The 24,931-nt window shown below is 47.5% G+C and overlaps 2 protein-coding genes across 8 annotated transcripts, besides 1 other annotated feature; both read right to left on the bottom strand.

The window, feature by feature from the left end:
• Positions 1-139: 139 nt before the first annotated feature.
• On the bottom strand, positions 140-6,267 carry AOC2 (amine oxidase copper containing 2). 2 transcript variants are annotated; one of them, NM_009590.4, is made up of 4 exons: positions 4,633-6,267; positions 1,476-1,761; positions 1,117-1,246; positions 140-765 (listed from the first exon to the last, which is right to left on the bottom strand). In NM_009590.4, exons 1-4 carry the CDS (start codon positions 6,218-6,220, stop codon positions 499-501), a joined length of 2,271 nt encoding a protein of 756 aa, NP_033720.2. In that variant the 5' UTR covers positions 6,221-6,267; the 3' UTR covers positions 140-498. The 2 variants fall into 2 exon arrangements, with proteins under 2 accessions (NP_033720.2, NP_001149.2); NM_001158.5 differs by having other exon boundaries at positions 1,557-1,761.
• An 819-nt stretch (positions 6,268-7,086) lies between these two features.
• PSME3 (proteasome activator subunit 3) lies at positions 7,087-17,450 on the bottom strand. 6 transcript variants are annotated; one of them, NM_001267045.2, is made up of 13 exons: positions 17,174-17,450; positions 16,908-17,071; positions 16,591-16,753; positions 16,471-16,503; positions 16,270-16,332; positions 15,971-16,075; positions 13,150-13,198; positions 12,642-12,754; positions 12,048-12,116; positions 11,835-11,902; positions 11,681-11,735; positions 11,467-11,553; positions 7,087-9,349 (listed from the first exon to the last, which is right to left on the bottom strand). In NM_001267045.2, the coding sequence occupies exons 3-13, from the start codon at positions 16,663-16,665 to the stop codon at positions 9,269-9,271; spliced, it is 798 nt and encodes a 265-aa protein (NP_001253974.1). In that variant the 5' UTR covers positions 16,666-16,753; positions 16,908-17,071; positions 17,174-17,450; the 3' UTR covers positions 7,087-9,268. The 6 variants fall into 6 exon arrangements, 5 of the variants coding, with proteins under 5 accessions (NP_001253974.1, XP_047291052.1, NP_001317158.1 ...); XM_047435096.1 differs by having other exon boundaries at positions 16,908-17,450; NM_001330229.2 differs by lacking the exon at positions 16,591-16,753 and having other exon boundaries at positions 16,908-17,450.
• Positions 17,633-17,802: an enhancer, noted in NCBI's record as "active region_12227". NCBI's record gives its function as "activates an Ori minimal core promoter by ATAC-STARR-seq in GM12878 lymphoblastoid cells {active_cell/tissue: GM12878}" and the evidence as "EXISTENCE:reporter gene assay evidence [ECO:0000049][PMID:35858748]".

Here is a 24,931-nt window from a genome sequence, read left to right as displayed (position 1 = left end):
GCTTTCCAAATGACATTCCTTGGCCAGGTCTATCCCCCTTGCCCTCTGGCCCCCAGCGCTAATTTCCCTGGCCAGACTCCTTAGTATTCTCCAGAGGACTCTAGATACTTAACAGGTCAAACAATAAATTCAAGTAAAATTCCTCTAATACTTTTTATTATAAATTACATACAACATCTGTTTTACAAAATTCTATCTACTCTTCCTTTTGAATGCACATGCATAAAGAGATGTCTGATGTAATGTGACCACCTATTTCTGAGTAGTAGGATTTGTGATATTTTTCTTTGAATATTTAAAAATCATTTTTATAATTTAACACTTTAGAGATGAACAGGAAGTAAGAATTAACCAAAGGGACTGATGGGGGTTTCGTGTGAGAGGAACATTGAGGGGGTGGGAATCTGGGGAGCAGGTGTGATAAAAACACGGAGAATAGAAAGTAGAAACAGGGAAAAGTACATGTGCCTAACCACGCCGCCCGCCACACCCTCAGGACTAGAAGCCGTGGTAAGAGAAAGGGGGTAAGTCCGGGACACAGGCTGCCAGGTCGGGGAGGCAGGCCACAGGATTGATGCTGCAGAGCCCAGCATCCTGGCCCTTCTCAAAGTAGACACTGCCAGGGGAGAAGATGGAGGGGTCCTCATCAAAGAAGTTATAGGGTCGGAGCAAGAAGCCAACTCTGTTCCCCAGAGTCACTGTGTTTGGGATGTCCTCGGCATGGGGAATGTGCAGGAAGCTGGCTGTGACCCAAGCCACCAGATCCTGCAAGAAGAAGGAGGAGCTGGAGGACTATGGAAGCGTGACCCAAAGAACCACCCTTCAGTCACAATCCCAGCCTCCAGTCTCAGCCTGGCTTCCACTCTCCCCAGCCTCATGCCCATACAACACGTGGAGCAATCCATGTAAGCAGCTGTGCGGGGAGAGGGGGGAGCCAGTGTCCCAGAGCTAATCTCACCCCAGGAGGGATGACCTGTGTTGGTCATCAGAAAACTCCATGGCCTCTGAATCTGCGAACTGGAAATCAGCCATTCCCTCTAACCTTTGGCCAGAGGCTGGGCAGCCAAGATGCCATGCCCACAGGTGTCCCTTTCCTATGTCCCTAGGGCAACCAACCTCTCCTAAGAGGGTTTCATTGTTGATGAAGTCAGCAAAGGTAACTGTGGGTGTCCAGATGTCATTCTGGTGATAGATGCTACTGCTCTGTGACTCCTCCTCCTTTCTCTGGGTCACCACAAGCTGGTATCTGGCCAGGAATCATAAGAAGGTGGTTTTGGGAAATGTCAAGTGCCTTTACTGGCCCAGGAGTCCCTTAGATCCGATTCTGTGTGAGACCATTTCCCACCGTGTATCTAACTTGGGTTTGAGGGGAGGTACAGGGATGAATGGTAGCCGTGGGAAGGGAGTTTGTCTCCAAGGACTGGGGCAGGGGAGGGGCTGTCCTTTCCTTCCACCCAGGCCAGGGCCCTCCTCACCTCCCCCAGCTGAGGGCCCTCTCCATGTCACTCTCCAGGGGTATGTGTATGCCAAGGGGGCTGTGGATCTGGATTCGGTACCCGCGCTGGTGACCCCACGCATTAGTCTGGTTGCTAGCCAGGTAGAGGTAGCGGGGTAGGGGGCTTCCCAAGGAAAAAGCTGTCAGGTCCTCCTTTCCCAGGACCTGCCGAGTCAGCTGTGGGCGCTGTAGCCAGTGCTCCGGGTTCCAGGGGGCAGCCACAGGTTTAAACACCACGTCTTCAGCTACCACCCAGTTTTTCAGCCCTGCCAGGGGGAGGGAAAGGAGATGAGTTCCACACCAGGTAAGGTCTCTGGGCCAGGTCCCTGTCTTCCCCATGATGTCCACTGCACTGGTGTGACAAAAGGCAGAGAGAGCATCAGAGCACACTGTGCTGGGAGCCAGGAGGTCTGGGCAAGAGCAAGCTCCTATCTTCTTCCAACTTGCCCTATCCGATAGGGTAACCACTAGCCACACGTGGCTATGAAAATTAAAACTTAGGGCCAGCTGAGGTGGCTCACACCTGCAATCCCAGCACTTTGGGAGGCTGAGGCGGGTGGATCATGTGAGCCCAGGAGTTTGAGACCAGCCTGTGCAACGTGGTGAAACCCTGACTCTACAAACAATAAAAAAATCAGCCAGGCATGGTGGTACATGCCTGTGGTCCCAGTTACTTGGGAAGCTGGGGTAGGAGGATTGCTTGAGCCCAGTAGGTTGTGGCTGCAATGAGCTGAGGTCACACCACTGCACTCTAGCCTGGGCAACAGAGCAAGACTCTGTCTAAAATATATATATATATATATATGTATATATATATATATATATATTCAGTTCCTCTGTCACACTAGCCACACTTGAAGTGCCCAGTTGCCACACATGGCTAGTGACTATTGTTTAGAGCCACAGCTCAAATACGGAATATTTCTATCACTACAGAAAGTTCTATTAGCACTGGACTACCAAACAGTCCCTGGACCAATTTGCTTCTCTGATTCACTTTCTGAATCCCTACACTGGGCATAATTAAAGCTGTTCTATGGCTGTGCCCAATAAACAGAAAAGCACTTGCAGCTGACTAGTGACATTCTTTTAACTATGAAAGGGATAATGATATTTGTCTTGGAGAAGCTAGCTGAAAAACTGACTCCTGAGCCGGGTGTGGCAGCTTGCAACTCAGGAGGCTGGTGGCAGGGTGATGCAGATCCCTTGAACCCAGGTGCTGGACACCAGCTGGGGTAACGGAATGAAACACTGCCTCTTAAAAAAAAAAAAAAAAAAAAAAAAAAGGCCGGGCATGGTAGCTCACAGCACTTTGGGAAGCCGAGGCGAGTGGATCACTTGAGACCGGGAGTTCAAGATGAGCCTGGCCAACATGGTGAAACCCCATCTCTACTTAAATAAATAAATAATTTAAAAAAATTAGCCAGGTGTGGTGGTGTGCTACTCTGGAGGCCGAGACACAAGAATCGCTTGAACCTGGGAGGTGGAGGTTGCGGTGAACTGAGATTGCACCACCGTGCTCCAGCCTGGGCAACAGAGTGAGACTCTGTCTTCAAAAAAAAAAAAAAAGCTGGGCGTGGTAGTGTATGCCTGTCATCCCAGCTACTAAGGAGGCTGAGGCAGGAGGATTGCTTGAGCCCAGGAGGTCAGGGCTGCAGTAACCTGTGATTGCACCGCTGCACTCCAGCCTGGGTGACAGTGAGACACTGCCTCAAAAAAAGAAAACCCAATCCCTTCCCATGGTCCCCTGCATACTCCTCCCAGCTCTGAGACTTCACTTTTGATCTCAGCAAGGTGGGAAGTACTGTCAGTGTTTTTCAGAAGCAAGCACATTCATACCTTTGTCTGGGAGTTCCTTGGAATTCTACAGCATCCATAACCTGCACTGCCTAACTCAGCACTTGGTCATACACTTTCTGCAGGTCTGGACTGTAAGTTCAACGAGACCTATATGAAGGTACCTGGCACGGGAGGCACTGCACTGAAGCTGGTGCCTCTGCAGCCATCCTGTGAGCTGGTGCCTGACACAGCCTCTCTGGCCCACAGCAGCAGCCCATGCTGCACACGCTAGGGGTCCAATAAATGTTACTTCCCAAAACAAGCCTCTTTAATGCCAAAGATGCTGAAGAAAAACTTCCAATCAGAAGACAAGTCAAAATCCAAGTATGTCAAAGAGTAATCTAGTTAATATGATCATTTCAATCATGCTATTAGTCCTTCCTACCCTCCACACCACTGCGAACACAAGTGCAAGTGCATGCACAGAGACACACGCAGGCACGCACGTGCCATGTCTTTAGACTTGAGGATAAGAAAACATTTCACAAGAAATACTAGTTTATGTTGCATTATACTTGGGCAGTCATTTCCTGTCCCATCTCCCGCCACCCTCCTTAGTTTCCCTTAAAATGGAGAGGGTCTGGTGAGTTTCTAATTTTCTTTGTGGATCAGTGTGTGAGTCTGTAAGTTCCTTTCTGTCCTTGACAAAGTCTGTCAGGAACAGCAAGTCCTCTGTGTGCTTTGAGCCCTTTGTGCTTGAGAAATCTCTTTCCATACTTGCAGCAAGCTGTGTGCCTGCCATGAGTCAACTGTGATGACAGGAATGGGATGGCCCTCCCGATGAGGAGTGGCCCTATCCTGGGGAGCAACCCCAGCTTTGCTACCCTCTCCTTCCTAAGCCCCAGGTCGACCCCCACCCTGAAGACTCTGGACAGACTTCTTCCGACCTCGGCTCAGGACCCTGCCCTCCCCACCCCTACTGACCCTCAGAATTAGGAAGAAGCAAAGTGCTCCAACTCCAGCCCCATTGGGCCAGTTCACCCACCCAGTGTCACTTGAGGCTAAGGCAATCATGCCCAGCCATTACATTTAAACTAGTTTCACAATCATAGCAAGTCAGAGGGGCTGGGCGGGGGAACTCTTTTCACCTTTTACCAGATACCCAGTAGCCCAGTACCAGACTCACTGCACTGAATATGCTCAAACAGTCCCTGCCCTGTTGCCACTAGAGCTGTGGTGTTGGAACACCCTGCTCTTGCCACTTGTTATTTCAGCTTGACCTGGGAGATTCCCTTCCCTTCCCTCCACCCCACCTGACCCCGCCCCCAAGTCTCCATCCTCATCCCCTCAGCACTCACCTGCCACATCCAGGTCCAGCTTGAAGTGGAAGGCATGTGTGTGCACCGTTCCCAGCACTCTTTCCCCCACACGGTTCCCAAAGAGGAGGCCCTCCTCTCCCCCTTTCAGGAAAGCTGTGTTGATATAACCCGTGGCATGGACCCGCCCTTCAAGTGCCCCATTTGGGTACAACACAAAGTCCCAAATGTAGTCATAGTTGCCCACAGATGACACAGACCTGACCACAAGGGCTGAGCTGGCCAAACCACCATAGAAATGATTTTGAAGGTAATTGTGGTGCCTTCGAAGGGGCAGTCCCTGGGCTTCCTCAAATACACACACAGCCCCTGGAAGCAGCTGGACTGCCCCTTTGCCCACTAATATATGGATGTCCACCATCGTGGCTTGATAGGGGCAGTCCACTCCCCGCACCAAGCCTCGGCTGTTACGGCCGAGTCCAAAGCTGCTATCCAAATAGCGAGTCAGCATCGTCTTGGGTGAATCGGCACCATAGATAGATACACACTCCTGGACACTGACTTCATAGGCTATTCGCTCACCCTGGAACCGAACATCAAAAATCCTCAGGCCGCTGAACACCCCATGGCCAAAGGTAAATGACCAGAGGGAGGATACCACCAGGTTTCCTTGCACACTGTACTGGGAACCCTGGGGCGAGAACTGAAGAGGGGGAAGAGGACCTGGAGAGTTCCGAGACCTCAGGGATGAAGCTCCATTTGGTGGAGGTAGAGGGACTCTAACCACTTCCAACCGGCCAGACTTAAACTCCCGTTCCAACTGGCCCAAGTCTGCATAGTAGTGCCCAAGGTAGAAGACCTGCTGGACAGTCCAGTGGGCAGGGTCCAGGGCCCTGTGGTCCAGTAGTAGCTCCAGCCCCACGGGGTGAAGGAAAAGACCAACCCCTGAGATGTTATGGTAGAGGGCCATCCAGGTAGCTCGGTCCCCTGAGCGCAAGCCCCGAGGGGTGGCATGCACAGCTGCCAGGGTAGAGCCATTGTAGTTGAAGGTGGACGACAGGAAGATGGGTGCCTTGGGTAGCTCCACCTCTTTCAGATGCCTCCACATCTGTGTAAACTCAGCTCTCAGCACCGGGCGACGGTGATAGGGCAGGGGCCCGCCGTGACGCTCCACAGTCACATCCCGCATGTACGAGGGGTGAGGCAGCGGCCCCACCACCAGCTCACTCACATTGGGTTGGGGTTGTCCACCAAAGAGGACGATGGCCAGTGCCTCCCGGGCAGGTGGGGGGCTCCCCCTGTCCAGGTGGGCCAGGGCTGCAGCCTTGGGGGGCAGCTGCAGCTCCACTGAGAAGATGCAGTTGTCCGAGGGCTGAGCCTGGGCTGCGTCCACCAGCCCTGGCCCCAGCCGCTGGGTCAGAAAGCGCATCACAGCTGTCAACTCCTCTCGGCTCAGGTCTGCAAACAGCTGGCTCTGGCCAGGGTGTGGCCAGGGCTGGGCCCTATGGGATACAGAGGGGCAGTGGGGAGGCTGGCTGGAACCACCTGGGCTGGTCAGCAAAACATAGGCCAGGGCAAAGATGGTAATGAGGGACAGTGCCAGGAACGCCAGGACTATCTTGAGATGCATGGTGGATGCTGAGAGCTGAAATCAGAATTCTAACAGCTGCTCCTTCCAGTTACTGACATCAAGTCGGGGTTTATATTCGCTAGGATGGATAGGAAGGGAGAAAACTCCACCCCATGGGTTGGGCAGGAAATTTCTGACCTTGATTTATGTAATTCTGTTCCAATTTTCTGTCCTGTGGTTTGGCCCAGGGCACTGCTTCCACATGCATAGCCTCTTCCTTGCCCCTGAACTCCCACTGGTAGCAGTCAGTACCAACTACTGATTTCCATCATTTAGACCAGATGAAAGGGAATCTGGGTTAACGATGCTAACCTCCAGTTTCCACCTGGAATGGGTCTCAGGAAGAGTACAAACCTCAGATGCCCAATTAAGTTCTGCAGCCTGCATGCAAGCACTAAGCTGTCCATTTTCCTACCTCCTGGCAGGAACTGCATCCCAACAGCTCCAGGATTCACTGCCATGTTCAGCAGTAAGCACTGAATTCTACTTGTTGCCTAATGCCAAGCCCTTGATTTGTAGTCAGGCCATTTCCAACCAGTGGAGTGGCTGAGGGCCTGGGCTTAGTAATCAGGTTTGTCCACCAATCCCAGTTCCCTCAGCTGTGTAACCTTAGCGGAAATACTTATCCTGAGTCTCAGTGTCCTCATCTGTAACAAATAGATACAACTATCCTATAGATTCCTGAAGATTAAATGTGATCATGCACATTAGGTACTTAACAGCCTGGCACAGGGGAGGCACTCACAAACCGCTAGCTTTTGGTAGTCATCTCTGAAACAGAACAGAGCAGCTGCTCCTCCATTGTTCAAGACCTTAAACTCTTTTTACAGAGACAACGAGGGGATCATTGGAAACCAGAAGGCTACTTGCAAGGTGGAAGATGAGGAAACTTTATTTCAGAGGGAGATAGATTCCTAGGCAGCCCTCCAAGTAATTTGAAAACCAAAACTAGGAGTCTCCTCAAGAAACTGAAGACATTATTCAGGAAGAATTAGTATAAGGTAAAGAAAATGACTGGGTAGGACGCGCCTTGAACCAGTTCATTCCTTACACATGGAACGATAGCAGCCTCTACTGGCAGTTCATGGGTATCACTCGGGAAGGAAGGAACTAGGATCTTCTGAAAGTAGGGAGAGAAGGCAGCTTAGGTCTGGGAAGAGCTAACTTTCCCATAATTCAGACTGAACACAAATGAAGCACCCAACCTTGCTCAGTAGGCAGAAGCCTCAGTCTTTCCACTATACTGGGGAAAAGATTCAGCTCAACTGGCATAAGGACACACAACAGGGTGGCTAGGTGTCCATGGAGGTGGGTGTCCAAGCGTGCACACATATGAGCATGAGTACATCCCTAGCCACCAGAGCATTGCACCAGGGTCTGCGGCTTTAGAAAGAGGTCAAAGTACCTGTATTTTTAATAATTTCTTGACATGGTAAAAGAATTTTACATTACGATCCATGGGTGATAGGGTGAGGAGGAGGGGCAGTGGAACAGTCCAACAAACGAAACGGGAAACTGAGAAACACATGGAGGGAAGGGGGAAGGGTTTTAGCTGGAAGGGATCTGGAGGGTGGGTGGGAGCACTGCCCAACTAAAATGCAATTGGTTTGTTACTGAGTACTATTCGTGGGAAGACAGCATCCTGACTCCCTCTCTACAGAATATTGGGAGTAAAAATGATGCATCCCCGGTGGAAATATTATTGGGGGTTGGAAGACAGAGACAGGAAAAATAAGTCAGAAACAGACACTAAGAGTCACTGGCAGGCTGACTGCAGGTATCAACTCTCCAGCCGTGGTAGAATAAAAGAGCTAGGGGCTGAAGGGGATTAACACAAAAGCTGTTAACAATTAAGTGATATCTCTGGAAGATTCGAGAGACAGGAGGCAACTCTTCTATAGTTTTGACTTGCCCAGCACATTTCCACATACACAAATGTGTATATGCACGTGTGTGCATGCACATACACATACACACCAATGATTGCTTTCCCCGGAAGCCCGACACTATAAATAAAGAGAAATAGTTCCCAAAAGGAAAGCCCAACATGAGCAGCAGCATCTGGACCTCACACTTGCAGAAACCTTCACCCCAACTGAAAACTGGCTGGGAAAAGGCAACCAGGAGTCAAGCTCTTGCAATAATGCCAAAAAGGGCTGAGTCAGAGAGGAACAGGCTTTCCCCAAGCCCTCTGCTTCTCATCTCTCTGTTCTCCACCAACTCACCCTGGGTACCAAGAGGCTACAGTATCAGGAGGGAGGACGGGCCCAGGACGTTTGTCTGGGTAGATGACAACTAAGACAACTGTCACCTCCTGAAAGGTATGTGACAGGGGTTGTGGAGAGGGAGGGTATGTTAGCTAATGGAGTAGGAGTCTGTGTGTGCATGTCTGTATGGGCGTATACATGCATACACATATGTGCATGTGAAAACGCCCATTATAAAAACAACTGAAGGAGCTTCGGAATTGACTGAAGGCCTAAGGTATTTCTTGTCACGATCAAGATTCAAAGTGGGATGTACACAGATGGGAAGCCCTAAGTCATCACCAGGGCAACTGTGGGAGGATCCAATGCCCCACAGAGGAAAGAAACAGTAACCTCATGTGAGGAAGAGAAGTTCGTCCCCCCGCCACCCTAGTTCCTAAAAAACACCTAGCACTTTCCTTCCGGTTCCCTCAGCTTTTAACCAACTAATTATCAAACGGAAGAAAACATAAAGCGCAAGACACAGGAGGGAGAGAGGGGGAGAATGAAAACACAGGTATTTTTGTGCCAACATCCTGCACACACAAACCTGGAGTTCTCCAGAAATTACGACAGGTTGGGTGTGGGGTATTAGGGAAGGAAATAGAAGAGTTCCTGAGGCCTGAAAAAAGAGGTAAACACATCACAGAACTAGATGAGAGTTTCATTAGACTCTAACTAAAAACAGAGAGGTGTGATTACTATTTCCAGCCAGTTTCCCCATCACGATAGTCATGTAACAAACCAAGGCAATGTCGGTCTTGAGCCAGACTCACAGAGTCCCCTGGCCCTGGCCCTGGCCTCAGTACAGAGTCTCTGCATTGCTGCTCCGGGGCCGTTTGATCTTCTCGATATTTTTCAGGATCATGTCATGTAGAGTGACCTGAGAGAAGAGGGATCAGGGGAATCACATATCTGTACAACCCTTACCTCATCAAGAAAATGAGAGACCCCTTCACAAATCCCCAAGCAATCATCTGCATACGGTAAGTCCTTAATGTCATCAATAGGTTCTTAGCAACTGCGACTTGAAGGAAATTAAAGTACAGCAGGTAAGCAAATCAAGTACAGAAGGTCCTCAAATAACCTGGTTTCAAATAACATCATTTTGTTCGATGTCATTTTGTTACAATGTTAATGAAAAAAAAACTTGGTTTTGATATACATCATTTTTAAAGTCGCAGTTTCTAAGAACCTATGGACAACATTAAGTGAAGACTTACTGTATTTTTTTTTTTTTTTTTTTTTGAGACACGGTCTTGCTCTATCGCTCAGGCTGGAGTGCAATGGCGCGATCTCGGCTGACTGCAACCTCCGCCTCCCAGGTTCATGCCATTCTCCTGCCTCAGCCACCTGAGTAGCTGGGACTACAGGCGCCTGCCACCACACCCGGCTAATTTTTTTTATTTTTAGTACAGATGGGGTTTCACCATGTTAGCCAGGATGGTCTCGATCTCCTGACCTCGTGATCCGCCCGCCTCGGCCTCCCAAAGCGCTGGGGTTACAGGCGTGAGCCACTGCACCCGGCCAACTTACTGTAATTTTAATCTCACTTGAGCCTGCATTCAGGGTGGCAGCACCACCTCTCTTATACTTCAACTGGGTATAAATGGGTATTTCCAAGGCCCCAAGTGTCTAATAACAACTAACATGTATTGTGCACTTAACATAGTAAGAATTGTACCAGGTCCTTCAATGTGTTATCTCACTTATTTTAAAAAAGCGAATGAATTTTGTGCAGTAGGTACTCTTCAGTTTTGTTTTCTTTTTTTGAGACGGAGTTTTGCTCTTGTTGCCCAGGCTGGAGTACAGTGGCACGATCTCGGCTCACTGCAACCTACACCTCTTGGGTTCAAGCGATTCTCCTGCCTCAGCCTCCCGATTAGGTGGGATTACAGGGGTCCGCCAACCATGCCCAGCTAATTTTTTGTATTTTCAGTAGAGATGGGGTTTCACCATGTTGGCCAGGCTGGTCAAAAACTCCTGACCTCATGTGATCCACCTGCCTCAGCCTCCCACAGTGCTGGCATTACAGGTGTGATCCACCACACCCGGCCTCTTCAGTCCCATTTTATTTTATTTTATTTATTTTTATTTGAGGCGGAGTTTCGCTCTTGTTGCCCAGGCTGGAGTCCAGTGGCGCAATCTCGGCTCACTGCAACCTCCGCCTCCCGGGTTCAAGCAATTCTCCCGCCTCAGCCTCCTCAGTAGCTACGATTAAAGGCATGTGCCGCCACGCCCGGCTAAATTTTTTTTTTTTTTTTTTAGTAAAGATGGGGTTTTTCCATGTTGGTAAGGCTGGTCTCGAACTCCTGACCTCAAGTGATCCACCCACCTTGGCCTCCCAAAGTGCTGGGATTACAGCCTATTTTTATTTTTTTTTTGAGATGGAGTTTCGCTCTTGTTGCCCAGGCTGGAGTGCAATGGAGCAATCTTGGCTCACCGCAACCTCCAACTCCCGGGTTCAAGTGATTCTCCTGCCTCAGCCTCCCAAGTAGCTGGGATTACAGACATGTGCCACCAGGCCCGGCTAATTTTGTATTTTTAGTAGAGACGAGCTTTCGCCATGTTGATCAGGCTGGTCTCGAACTCCTGACCTCAGGTGATCCACCCGGCTTGGCCTCCCAAAGTGGTGGGATTACAGGCATTAGCCACTGCGCCCAGCCCAGTCCCATTTTAAAGAAGAAATTGAAGTTTAAGCTTGAACAATTTGCTCGAGGTCACACAACACAGGTAGAGCCTGGTTGCAAACCTAAGTCTGTCTGACTCTGACACCTATATCTTAACCATATTGTACTGCACACCCCTCCACTCAGGTAGAAAAAAGAGAGATACCCTGCTAGATGACTTCATGGTTCTCAACACTCAGGTGATGAATAGAATTTGGTCTATTCATTTTACCTCAGACCCTCATCTCAGCCCTTCAGAGAATTTTAACAATACTCTCAACAGAACTAAGAGAAGCCACAGCAACTATGGACAAGGACTGAGATTACTCACATATTGATTCCTCAGCTCTGATATGATGAGCCGAAGGCTGATATATTCTTTCTCATCAATCTCTGTCACGGTGCGGCGATAGTCCTCCTGCAAGGAGGGTACAGGAAAAAGCTAGTCCCCAAAGCCCAATTGTTTCCAGACAGCTCCTTCCCAGTAACAGTCACTCTTCACTATCCTGCCACCTCCACCCTCAGGCCACAAACCCCTTACTTACCACATGGGGATATTTAGCTATTTTAGAAACCAATTTGGCTCTTGTAATATAATATCTGGAAAGAGAGAGAAGAGGAGGAAGATGCAGGAGACCCTTGATGGTGCCCACCACCTCATCAGCCCCCAACGCCTCGGCCAAGCCCAAGCAGCCCTACCTAGAAATCTGGTCCAGATAAGATGCAGCTTCACTCTCAACAGTTCTTAGCTCTGCAACTGTTTCCTCCTAAAACAAACAAACAACAGGTGCATCAAAAGCCACTTCCATGTCATCCACAGCAGCCCCAAAGAAAAAGGAAAAAAAGGTAACGCAGGGGAGATGAGAGTATCTCCCAAGCCACTCTTCCCAGTATGTAATTCAAGTACATTACCTGAATGGACACCCCAAAGTTGTTTCCATCTTCTATCCTGGGAATCAGGAGCTGTACCCACATTTTGACCTGGAGGTCAAAACATATATGAGGACCTTTGCCTGAAGGCTGAAGCCATGAAGTACACAATTCAGACGGCTGGAGCCAGATGCCAGGAACACAGAAGTCAAAATACCTAGTCTGGCCAGGCATGGTGGCTCATGCCGGTAATCCCAGCAATTTGGGACCCCGAAGCGGGTGGATCACCTGAGGTCAGGAGTTCGAGACCAGCCTGGCTAACCATGGCCAAAATGGTGAAACCCCGTCTCTACTAAAAATACAAAAAGTAGCTGGGTGTGTTGGCAGGTACCTGTAATCCCAGCTACTCGGGAGGCTGAGGCAGGAGAATCACTTGAACCCAGGAGGCAGAGGTTGCAGTGAGCCGAGATGGCGCCACTGCACTCCAACCTGGGTGATGGAGCGAGACCCCATCTCAAAAAAAAAACTCAAAAAAACCTAGTCTGCCAATTCCCATACCACCCGTACATCCACTGTTTTTTGCACTTCAGGTGGGGTACTTGGGGCCGGCCCATAGGTCACCAGCCTGTGCCTCACCGTGTTACATTTCTCAATCAACAGCCGGATCTCAGGTTTCACTTTCTCAATAATGTCCACCAGCTGCTGGTTGCTTTTCAGCATCCCATTGGGCATCACAAACACCTTGGTTCCTGGCAGAGATGTGAAGGTCAAATGATCAGGGAAGAGGGAAGGACACAGCATCCCCTGCCTCTCTCTCATTTTCCCTATACCTATCAGATGCTATGACCTCTGCCTTTGTCACAATCCTACCATGACACCACTATTAGAATCAACGAGAATGTATGGAAAAAAAGAACTACAGATGAGCGTCTAAAACATAACAAAAGTCTTAAATCCTCTGTTTATTGGAAAACCAGGTTTAGAGCACTCAATAACAAGCACGTTTGGAGGAGCTGGGAATGCTACCTCTGGGAAGTAAGATTAGATCTTGCCTCCTGGTCAGGAGAACACTAGATCCATCCTGCTTCTCAGGGTTGCAAGTCAGGGATGGGGTGAGGGGAGGTGAGGTAAGGGTGCCTCTTACCTTGGAAGGCTTCTTCACACTCATCCAACCTTCGCTTCTTATAAGTGGGCTAAGGATACAAAGAGGCAGGGATGAGCCTAGTTTTGACACCCACATCTCCATCACAAGATACCCTTCAAGCAAGTTTAATCCCTTCCTCAGCCTCATAGCTTATGTTATTAATTTCTGCACAATTTCCTAAGTACATACAAAGCTTTAAGAAAGGTTATTGGAGGCAAGGCGCGGTGGCTCATGCCTGTAATCCCAGCAATTTGGGGGGCCGAGGTGGACAGATCACCTGAGATCAGAAGTTTGAGACCAGCCTAGCCAACATAGTGAAACCCCATCTCTACTAAAAATACAAAAAGTTAGCCAGGCGCGGTGGTTCATGCCTGTAATCCCAGCACTTTAAGAGGCCAAGGTAGGTGGATCACAAGGTCAGGAGTTCAAGACCAGCCTGGCCAAGACAGTGAAACCTCATCTCCACTAAAAATACAAAAATTAGCTGGGCGTGGTGGCAAGCACCTATAATCCCAGCTACTTGGGAGGCTGATGCAGAGAACTGCTTGAACCCAGGAAGCAGAGGTTGTAGTGAGCCGAGATTGCACCACTGCACTCCAGCCTGGGCAACAGAGCAAGACTCCATCTCCAAAAAATAAAAATAAAAAAAATTAGCCGGGTGTGGTGGCAGGCACCTGTAATCCCATCTACTCGGAAGGCTGAGGCAGGAGAATTGCTTGAACCTGGGAGGTAGAGGTTGCAGTGAGCCGAGATTGTGCCACTGCACTCCAGCCTATGTGACAAGAGTGAAACTCCACCTCAAAAAAAAAAAAAAGGAAATAAAGAAAAGGTTCTTGGGCTGGGCGCCATGGCTCACACCTGTAATCCCAGCACTTTGGGAGGCCAAGGCACACAGATCGCTTGAGCTCAGGAGCTTGAGACCAGCCTGGGCAACATAGGGAAACCCTGTCTCCACAAAAAATACAAAAACTAGCTGAATGTGATGGCACATGTACCTGTAGTCCCAGCTACCTGGGAGGCTGAGGTAGGAGGATCACTTGAACCCAGGAGTTTGAGGTTGCAGTGAGCTGAGATTAAGCCACTGCACTCCAACCTGGGTGACAGAGTGAGACTGGGTTCCCCCTCAGAGAAAGAAAGAAAAGGTTCTTACCACAAAGCAAATTACGCTCTAGTTGGGAAGACCAATCTTTCCAGAAACACAATACATTAAGTATTATAAAGAATAGGAAAAAAGAACCAATCAAAGCAGGGAAGATAATTAAGGGAATACGTACAAATCTGCTGGTTCCACAAAGGAACACATTATTCAGTTAACAAACATGTATTCAGCAATTGCTAGGGACCAGGATCAACACTAGGTGCTGGGAATACAAAGATTAAGATAGCTCCTGCCGGCCGAGCACGATGGCTCATGGCTGTAATCCCAGCACTTTGGGAGGCTGAGGCGGGCGGATCACCTGAGGTCAGGAGTTCGAGACCAGTCTGGACAACATGGTGAAACCCTGTCTCCACTAAAAATAAAAAAATTGGCTGGGCGTGGTGGTGTGCACCTGTAATCTCAGCTACGTGGGAGGCTGAGGTGGGAGAATCACTTGAACCCGGGAGGCGGAGGTTACAGTAAGCTGAGATCGCGCCACTGCACCCAGCCTAGGCAACAGAGTGAGACTCTGTCTCAAGGAAAAAAAAAAAAAAAAAAAGATAGTTCCTGCCTTCCAGATGTACAAGTTCAACAATGAGGCAGTACTACAGACAACAATACGGTATCATCAGTGTTATAGTAGCATGTGGACACATGACTGATAAGGACTAGGTGTTAGAGATGCAAAGCAAAGATAGCAATTGCAGTTACATAGCGAGAACTGCATATCCCATAACACTACTCAAGACATGCAAACAAATATAAGCAAAGTCTTGTTCAGAGCCATGGGAAAAACCAGGTAACCTGATGAAGCTAGTTCTCTTTTTTTTTTTTTGAGACAGAGTCTCGCTCTGTCGCCCAGGCTGGAGTACAGTGGCGCAATCTCAGCTCACTGCAAGCTCCGCCTCCTGGGTTCATGCCATTCTCCTGCCTCAGCCTCCGAAGTAGCTGGGACTACAGGGGCCCACAACCACACCCAGTTAATTTTTTGTATTTTCAGTAGAGACAGGGTTTCACGGTGTTAGCCAGGATGGTCTTGATCTCCTGACCTCATGATCCGTCCACGTCGGCCTCCCAAAGTGCTGGGATTACAGGCGTGAGCCAAGGTGCCTGGCCTAAGCTAGTTCTCTTTTATTTGAAACTCACTCTAACACTGACAGTAGCATTAGCACATTCACTTCACGTCGTAAATGAAACTGAGGGTCTAAAAGGAATATACTGGAGTCCCCGTGCAGTGACTCACGCCTGTAATCCCAGCACTTTGGGACGCTGAGGCGGGTGGATTACTTGAGCTCAGGAGTTTGAGACCGGCCTGGGCAACATGGTGAAACCCCATCTCTACAAAAAATACAAAAATCAGTGGGCATGGTGGTGGACTCCTGTAGTCCCAGCTACCTGCGAGGCTGAGGAGGAAGGATCGCTTGAGTTCGGGAGGTCAAGGCTGCAGTGAGCAGCATTCCCGCCACTACACTCCAGCTTGGGCAAAAAAAGTGACACCCTTTCTCAAAAATAAATAAATAAATAAGAAATAAAAGAACTATACTAGAGTCATCATGTCTGTAACAGAGTCCTAGTTCCCAGATCCAAATCCCACTGTTCCCTCTGTACATCTTAAACTGACAAGGAAACAGAGGACAGAGGACCTACTGCTCAAGAACACAAAGATAAATATAGGACACTTACACCATCCAGTCCATCATGGCTATTGGTGAGAAGAATGGGGTCAGGGACTGGGAGATTCATGTCAGAGTGGATCTGAGTTAGGTCATGGATGTTTAAGATTGGTTCCTGAAAGACACCCACCCCAAAACATTAATCTTTTCAAGCTGAACAAAGAAGTATTTGATTTGAAGAGCAAGAAATGAAAGTGCTTTTACAGTTTAAAAAAATAAAAAGAAGAAGAATCAACAGTTTATCCCAGTTGACAGTAATACCAGGGCCAAAAAAATTGGGGAATTTGAGGAAAGAATAGGGTCTCTCACCTTCAGAAAACTATCAAGTTCTAATAACTTCTTTGGGAAAAAATTTGCCACCAAGTCTTCTGCCTAAGGAAGAGGGAAAATACAGCTGAATTAATATCTGTGGGAAGGTCTCTCTCTCTCTCTCTCTCTCTCTCTCTCTCCAGGTATCTCCTCTTTGGGAAATTCTCAACCAACAACCATTTTTCTATTTATTTCACTCACCTCACTTGTGATCCGCTCCCTGAAAGAATCAACCTAAAATTAACAAAGAGAGCAATTCAGTACCTGGGGACAGAGGTAAGAGCAGGATGGAGAATCCCAATCCAACTGTCTTTCCCTCACCTTGTAACTGTAATAAGAAGCTGAGAGGCCCCCAGACTGCAAATACTTTATTTTTTTGAGGATCCATTTTTCCATCTCAGAAGAACGCAGGGCTTTGAGGACAGCACCTGCCTGTCTCCTCTGTCCTCCCCCTTCCCTCCCTTCCTCCTGTGTCTGAAGCTGTCTGAATTTGATAAGCAGACAAAAGACAGGTAGTTAGGGAAGATGTGAGCTCACAAACGTGCCAACCCCCACCCAGACCTAGTCTATGATACTAGGCAGGCCAGCCGCCAAGGGCAGGGGCAGTGTCCAGGGACGTTGTTGGGCTGGGGGATTACCAGCTGTCACGGGCCTAAAGCCCTGAGTCCAACACGTGTCCGCGGAGGTGTCCCCGGGACTCTCCATCATCAGACGCGGTACAGAAAGCCATCCTATATTTTCCTCTCCCGCGAAGCCGACCCCGGGAGTTGGGGGCTGGGCTGAGCCGAGCGGAAGCTCAGAGCTGGTATCCCCAGGGAGACAAAGACGCCATGGGGAGTAGGAAGCCGGTCAGACTGCTGGGGGATCAAAGCGAGGGGCAAAAAGGCCGGACCGGTGCCGCTACCTTGAGCTTCACTTCCTGATCCACCTTCAGCAACGAGGCCATGGCCGGGCCGGGCCGTGTCCGATCCTCTGGACACCGGAGGCGCTGTGGACTCCAGGGAGGGGGCCGGAGGGACCTGAGAAATCTCGGCTGACCTCGGGACCCGACCGCCCTTGCTGGCTTACTCACTGCTCGCTCGCTCCCTCCCTCTGTGCCGTCCGCCCGCCCGCCGGCAGCCTGCTGCCTGCTTGCTCTCTCGCTCGCCCTCCCGGCTTTCGCCGCTCACGCCGGAAACTGCGTCACAGCCAATCGCCGAGACTCCTGCGAGGCTGTGCACGTGCGCTGCGCAGCCGCGATGAGGCATGGCTTTGGACGCTCCCAGCGGGGTTCACACTGCCGGGGTCAAGTGTCGGGTAGGGGTAAAGTAAAAAGGAGAGCTGTGGGGAATGGTGCGCTGAGAACTGAGCCTCCGAGAGACTCGGAAACGGTGCGGCCCTCTCTGTTGTCCCGGAACTCGCCTTCACCGAAGGGACCTTCTCAGCCGCTGCACTCCCGGGGACAACGCCGTCGCGCCCCAGTGACGTAGGCTCGGGGAAGTCGGGGACCCGGGTACTGGGTTCGGGGGTGTAGTCCCTGATTCCCGCTGCCTCTGCCCGTTTGCCGAGGCTCAAGTGTTTAGGCTAGAGCGAAAAAGACAAGCGCCGTTGTACCAAGCTTTCCTGGTACATTTCCCTGCCAACTGATTCTCGTAAGCTTCCAGACCTCAAAGATCAACTACCTAATTGGCAAATTGATCCCCAGAGTAGGGTAGGGCTTGTCCAAGGCGTTTCCAGTACATCCTGAGCCAGAACCCAGATCTCCTAACTTCTACGGCAGTGCTGTATCTATTTGCCTAGTGGAAGCATGAGACTATACCTCTTCATGCACCCATTCATTCGATCTCTCTCTCTCGACATTGGATATATCATTCAATAAAATGGGGCAGGGCACTGTGTCAGATTCTAGAAATATGTGAGTCACATATGTAGGTTGAAATCTTCTAGTAGCCACAATTAAAAAGTAAAACAAGTGAAAATTTTAGTCATACATTTAACCCAGTTTATACAAGTATTTCAACATGTAATCAACATTTAAAAATCGAGATCTTATGCATTCTTTTCTCATACCAAGTCTTCAAAATCCAGTGCGTATTTTACACTTAACTGCACATCTCAATAAGGCAACACCACATTTGTAGTACAGTGCTCAGTAGCCACATGTGGCTGCTGGCTTCTGTATTGAAGAGCACAGCTCTGGGAAATCAAAGGCAAACAAGATTCAAGGTCGCTGGTCCCATGGGGCATAATATTGGAAAAACACCAGAAAGTAAACTGACAAGGTAACTGCAAAATTTGATAAATGTTAGGGAAAAAGTGGATGACATAGAAAATACGAGAGATCTATTTTAGATCGAATGGCCAAGGAAGGCCTCTGAACAGGCAAGCTGTGATCTAAAGGATATAAAGAGGTTAGCATGGAAAGAGTGAGAAGAGCCTTGAGAGGTATAAGGGCAGCTCAGGCAAATGCTCTAGGGAAGGAAAGAGATTGTCTTGAAGACAAAGACTAGTGAGCTGAGGGTGAGGAGGGTTGTTAGTAAACAATCTAGATTAAGTGCAAAAGGAGGTCATCAGATTTGTATTTTGGGGTCGCTCTTGCTGTTGAACATTTATCCTAGGCTGGCCTCTCTACTAAGTGCTAGGAAAATGAGGGGAATACACAATTAAATGGAGTAAAGCACAGAAGACTGACTATGGCCTTTGGGATCAGAGACCTGGGCTTCAAATCCCACCTCAGCTCCTTACTAACTGGAATCTTGGGCAAATTATTGAAATGCTGAGTCTCGATTCCCTCATCTGTAAGATGGAATTTTAATAATTAGTAATAAATAATAGTATGTAATTTTGTAGTGTTGTGAATATTAGAAATAATATATGTAAAACAATTAGCACAGTGCTTAGACACAAAATAAATAGTAGCCACTGTCAGGTAAGTAAGTGATCTGTTAATGCTTAGCATGAAGAGGTTACTCCTTAAATTACAGTAATTATTTCCATTCCTGCTTTCAAGCTCAAAGTCCTTTTCAGCTTATAGAAGGCCACATATAACATCATGCTCTATCAGTTTTCCCCCTTTTACATGTTTTCTGTTAACACATTTCCCTGGGAACTTTTGAGATCCGATTTGAAACTTCAGGAATTATTTCCCACATTTACTCCATTCTATTTTAAGTATGCCACTATTCTTATTCCAGTCAGAATTTATAACATCAACTGGAAAAGCTAATATGTTTGTGCCTGTTAAAATATGCTTTGTTCTCAAATAATTATGTTTTGTCTCCTTCAAGTAGGTTATAAGACAGATACACATTCTCTTTATTTCCCTTCCTCCTCCCCATCCAAGTGTTTAATATAATACTCCATTCATTTGTTTATTCAGTGAACAACTGGAGAGTACCACTACACTTAACAATAACTATTCATTTCTGGGTGCTTACAAGTCACATGTGATCACTGATGACTGGTCTAATTTTAAATTCATGTCCCAAAATCTCAAATGAGTGCACAACACTGCCTGAGCTCCTACTACATGCTCCTGACAAGTTTGCTCTCCCACCCTCCCAATGACTATCATACTTTCTCATCTCCCTGAACCTCCAGTATTCCTTCTCTCCCACCTCCAACTTATGGCCTGGGCTCATTCTTTATTGAGAAAACAGAAGCAGATGAGAACTACCTCATCATCTCACCACCAAATCTGCCAATCTGCAAAATACTTTCTGCCTTTCCTCTTTCATTGAAGGAAACAAACCTGTTCCTATCTCTTCCTTTTGTGCTTTGGATTCCATCCCCTTTGACTTTCTCAATCCCATGTCTGTGCCCATGATTAGCCCCTCTTTTTCCTACATCACATCCTCTGCTGGGTCATTTCCAGACATAACCAATATCCCCTATCTTGAGAAAACTCCCCCCCGAATCCAGATTCCTCTGTAGCTGTTACTCCCTTTCTGTGCTCTCCTTCCTGGCAAGACTTCTTGAATTATTTATTGTCTCTTACTCTACTTCCTCATGCCCCATTTACTCCAATCCACTCTAATCAGACTTCTCAACCCCACTTTCTCACTGATATAATTTTTGTTAGGTTACCAATGACTACCATGTTGACACCAGTGGTCACCTCTCATCTTATTTGAATCTCTCAGTAGTACTCAATATATTAGCCACTCCCCTTCTTAAAATACACACAGCAACCTGTTCTGATCTTTCTCCAGCCTCAACAGTGATTCCCCATTTCCTTTGCTGGCTCTTCCTCCTCTGCTCCACTTCTTAATGGTGGCATGCTTCAGGAGACTTAGGTCCTTTATTCTCTGCTTACACTTTCTCCCTAAGAGGATCTATGCATGTTCGGCCAGGCGCGGTGGCTCACGCCTGTAATCCCAGCACTTTGGGAGGCCGAGGCGGGTGGATCACGAGGTCAGGAGATAGAGACCATCCTGGCTAACACGGTGAAACCCCGTCTCTACCAAAAATACAAAAAATTAGCCGGGCGTGGTGGCGGGCGCCTGTAGTCCCAGCTACTCAGGAGGCTGAGGCAGGAGAATGGCGTGAACCTGGGAGGCAGAGCTTGCAGTGAGCTGAGATCGCGCCACTGCACTCCAGCCTGGGCGACAGAGCGAGACTCCGTCTCAAAAAAAAAAAAAAAAAAAAGAGGATCTATGCATGTTCATAGCTTTAAGTATCATCTGTATTCGGCCAGACACGCACGGGGGCTAATGCCTGTAATCCCAGCACTTTGAGAGGCCAAGGCAGGCAGATCACCTGAGGTTGGGAGTTCGAGACTAGCCTGAACATGGAGAAACCCCGTCTCTACTAAAAATACAAAATTAGCTGGGCGTGGTGGTACATGCCTGTAATCCCAGCTACTCGGGAGGCTGAGGCAGGAGAATCACTTGAACTGGGGAGGTGGAGGTTGCGGTGAGCCGAGATCGCGCCATTGCACTCCAGCCTGGGCAACAAGAGCGAAACTCCATCTCAAAAAAAAAAAAAAAAAAAAAAATCTGTATGCTGATTTGAGGGCCCCAGATTCGTATCTCCCATCTGACATCTTCACTGAGTTCTAACCATCTATTTGATGTTTCTACTTGGAAACCTAATGAGCATATCAAACTTAACATGGCCAAACCAGAATTCTTGATTCTCCCACACACCTGTTATTTTCCTATTCTTCTCCATCTCAGTAATTGACATAACTGTCCACCTAGTTGTTCAAACCAAAAACCTAACAGTCAACCTTGATTCCTCTCTTTTCCTCGTCTCTCCACATTCAACCCATCAGCAGGTCCTGTCAGCTTTCCCTGTATAATGCATCCTGTATGAGTGTGCTTTCCTCCATCTCTTGTTACCCTGGCCAAAGCCACTGTCATCCTTTGCTAGGACTATTACAATAGGCTCCTATCTGGTCTCTCCATTTCCACTCTTGCCACCCCCCACCAACTGTCACATTCTGTTCTTCACTCAGCACCAAAATTTATCATTGATTGATTGACTGACTGAGACAGGGTCTTGCTATGTTGTCCAAGTTGGTCTCGAACTCCTGGCTCAAGTGATCCTCCCGCCTCAGCCTCCTGAGGAGCTGGGATTACAGGTGCACACCAGGCCAGCTCAAAATAATCTGCTAATATGTCAGCCACAGAGATGGTAGCATCTACTCAAGCTGAATATACCTAAAGAGAGAGAGAGAAAGAGAAAGAGAGAGAGAGAGATCCCAGAAACCTCAACTCTAGGGACCCACCCAAGAGAAATGCATAAATATATTCACCAAAAGACATGAACAAGAATGTTCATAGCAACACTATTCACAATAGACCAAACTGGAAACTACCCAGATGCCTCTTAACAGCAAGAGAGATATCTATATTTTAATATAGTCACACAATGGAATACTACAAAGTATTGAGAATGTATGAACTAAAACTACACAAGGTGGGTGAATCTCATGATGAGCGAAAGGAAACAAGAGTATGTCATGTATGATTCCATTTACATGAAATTCAAAAAACAGTCAAAACTCAATCTAGGGTGTTAGAATTGACAATATTGTTTGCCCTTAGGGTGGGCATCAATTAGAGGGTGGCATGGGAGAGGGAGTTGGGTACTGGTTACATTGACGTGTTCATTTTGTAAAAATTCATTGAAAATACATGTATGATTTGTGTCTTTTCCCCTATGTATTCTATCCCCCCGTAAATAGTTTCTTTTTAAGTCAGCCAGTCAAGTCTCTTCCCTACTTACCACCCTCAGTGGTTTCCAGATAACATAGGCCTTCCTGAATCCCCCAGTTGAAGCAGCTCCTCCCACCCTGCCCCCACTTACTCTCTATCACATCACCTTCTTACCTACTGTATTAGCTTTCTAGGGCTGCTGTAGCAAAGTACCACAAAGTGGATGGCTTAGAACCAAAGAAATATATTGTCTCAGAGTTCTGGATGCCAGAAATCCAAAATTAAGGTGTCAGCAGGACCATGTTCCTTCTAAGGGAGCCAGAGAAGTATCTGTTCCAGACCTCTTTCCTGGCTTTTGGTAGCCTCAGGTCTTCCTTGGCTTACAGATCACCCTGTGTCTCTTTACATCATCTTCCCTCAGACACGGTACATGTCTGTCTCTGTGTCCAGATTGCCCCTATTTATAAGGACGCAGTCATATTGGTCTAGGGCTAACATCAATGACCTCATCTGCAACGATCCTATTTCCAAAAAAGGTCACATTCCCATGTGTTAGTCCCAGATGTTAGGACTTCAACATCTTTTGGGGGACATCATTCAACCCATAATATCTGCCATTATCTGAAATTATCTTATTAACTTGGTTACATGTTTACTGTCAAATTCTCTCCTCTGGAATATAAACTATTAGAGCAGTTCACCAGTATATCCTCTCAGACCTAGAATAGGGACTGGCACATAGTAGATGCTCAATAAACATCTGTTGAATCGATGACTGAGGATATGTTGTGTATTATTCACAATCCCTCAAGCACTACATACACTGATTACATATACTTCCCAAGTGTGAGGATACACAGAGCATTCACTATGTAACAGTCATTCCCCTCCATTCCAAATGTATCAGCTCATTTATCACACTACCCTTTATGATATTTACTACTGTATACTATTAATCTCATTTTGTAAATAAGAAAACAAAGCACAGAACAGTTGAATAAATTGCATAAGGTCACATGGTTAGTGGATGGTAAAGAACCAGGTGGTCTCAACTTCCAAATCCTCAGTTGTAACACTATACCCCCTACCTCTCTAGAAGCCCGTTACTTCTCTATGCGTTTCTGAGATGTTAGGGACAGCCAAGCAGGAAGAAACGCAGGACTATGAAGCAGCCACACCAGGACTAGGTGAGAATTCTTTGGGGATGATTCCAGTCACCTCCCCTAAAGGGGCTTTCATGCTGAAAGAGCCAAGAGGAAGAAGGATTGTAAACACTATCCCTAGTCACAAAACCGGGAGAAAAATCAATCTAGTTCCACATATCACATCCAATACCAACTATAAGAAACCACATACATTTAAAAGAAAAGAAAGACACTTCTGGAGGTGGGAATAACTTTCTAAGCAGTATAAGTCATCAAGAAAAATAAGCAGATTTGACTTGAAAATTTAAAACTTCCTGAACATCTGGAAAATAATTAAAGCATTCATGAAAAATTACTAAAAATACTGAGAAAAATACTAATAATCCAATACCTAAATAATCAAAGAATGCAAACATAATTCAGAAAAAAGTAACTACTGCTTGAGCCCGGGAGGCGGAGATTCCAGTGAGCTGATATTGCACCACTGCACTCCAGCCTGGGTGACAGAGTGAGACCGTGTCTCTTTTTTTTTTTTTTTTTAAAAAAAGGCCGGGCATGGTGGCTCACACCTGTAATCCCAGCACTTTGGGAGGCCAAGGCGGGCAGATCAGGAGGTCAGGAGATTGAGACCATCCTGGCTAACATGGTGAAACCGTCTCCACTAAAAATATAAAAAATTAGCCGGGTGTAGTGGTGGGCGCCTGTAGTCCCAGCTACTCGGGAGGCTGAGACAGGAGAATGGCGTGAACCCAGGAGGCAGAGGTTGCAGTGAGCCGAGATGGCACCACTGCACTCCAGCCTGGGCAACAGAGCAAGACTCCATCTCAAAAAAAAAAAAAAAAGTAACTACAATAAGCAAATACATAGCAAAAAGTTCAGCCTTACCAGCAATCAATGATGCTAATTAAAATAACAAGGAAGTGCCATTTTTTGCTTTTGTTCCCCAAATATATGATACCCAATACTGGCCAAGGCAATATGAAAACAGGCTTCCTCATACATTACTGGAAGCAGAATATAGTTATGTGCAAGCACTTTGGAAAATGATTCCCAGTGTTAAGGAAGAGACATTAAATAGCTGACACACTCTTAATTCTGTAGTCCCAGTTATGAGTCTCTATCATAAGTAGCCAGCTCTTCATTGCAGGATTATTGTAATCACCCACAGGGGAAATAGTAGAATTTCCAGCGGTAAAAAAATACACTAAGGCAGTACATTTAGTGTAGTGTAATGTAGCCATGATAACTACAATAACTGTGTAGCAACATAGAAAAATGTTAAATTTAAAAAGCAGAAGCCTGGGCAACAAAGTGAGACCCCATCTCTTTTTTTTTTTGAGATGGCGTCTCGCTCTGTCACCGAGGCTGGAGTGCAGT

Source organism: Homo sapiens, chromosome 17 (genome assembly GCF_000001405.40).
Source record: "Homo sapiens chromosome 17, GRCh38.p14 Primary Assembly".
In the NCBI taxonomy this organism is placed as follows: Eukaryota; Metazoa; Chordata; class Mammalia; order Primates; family Hominidae; genus Homo; species Homo sapiens.
Note: the sequence above shows the minus strand (reverse complement) of the source record. Positions and strands in the feature narration are given on the sequence as shown.

Coding starts and splice junctions, on each gene's coding strand:
- AOC2 (NM_009590.4), bottom strand. CDS start 6,220: ATGCATCTCAAGATAGTCCTGGCGTTCCTGGCACTGTCCCTCATTACC. Junction 1,762..4,632: donor GCTGGACCTGGATGTGGCAG/GTGAGTGCTGAG, acceptor TCCCCCTGGCAG/GGCTGAAAAACTGGGTGGTA. Junction 1,247..1,475: donor AGGGCCCTCAGCTGGGGGAG/GTGAGGAGGGCC, acceptor ATTCCTGGCCAG/ATACCAGCTTGTGGTGACCC.
- PSME3 (NM_176863.3), bottom strand. CDS start 17,215: ATGGCCTCGTTGCTGAAGGTGGATCAGGAAGTGAAGCTCAAG. Junction 12,755..13,149: donor GTGTGAAGAAGCCTTCCAAG/GTAAGAGGCACC, acceptor CATCTCTGCCAG/GAACCAAGGTGTTTGTGATG. Junction 9,350..11,466: donor CAGAGCTGAGGAATCAATAT/GTGAGTAATCTC, acceptor CTCTTCTCTCAG/GTCACTCTACATGACATGAT.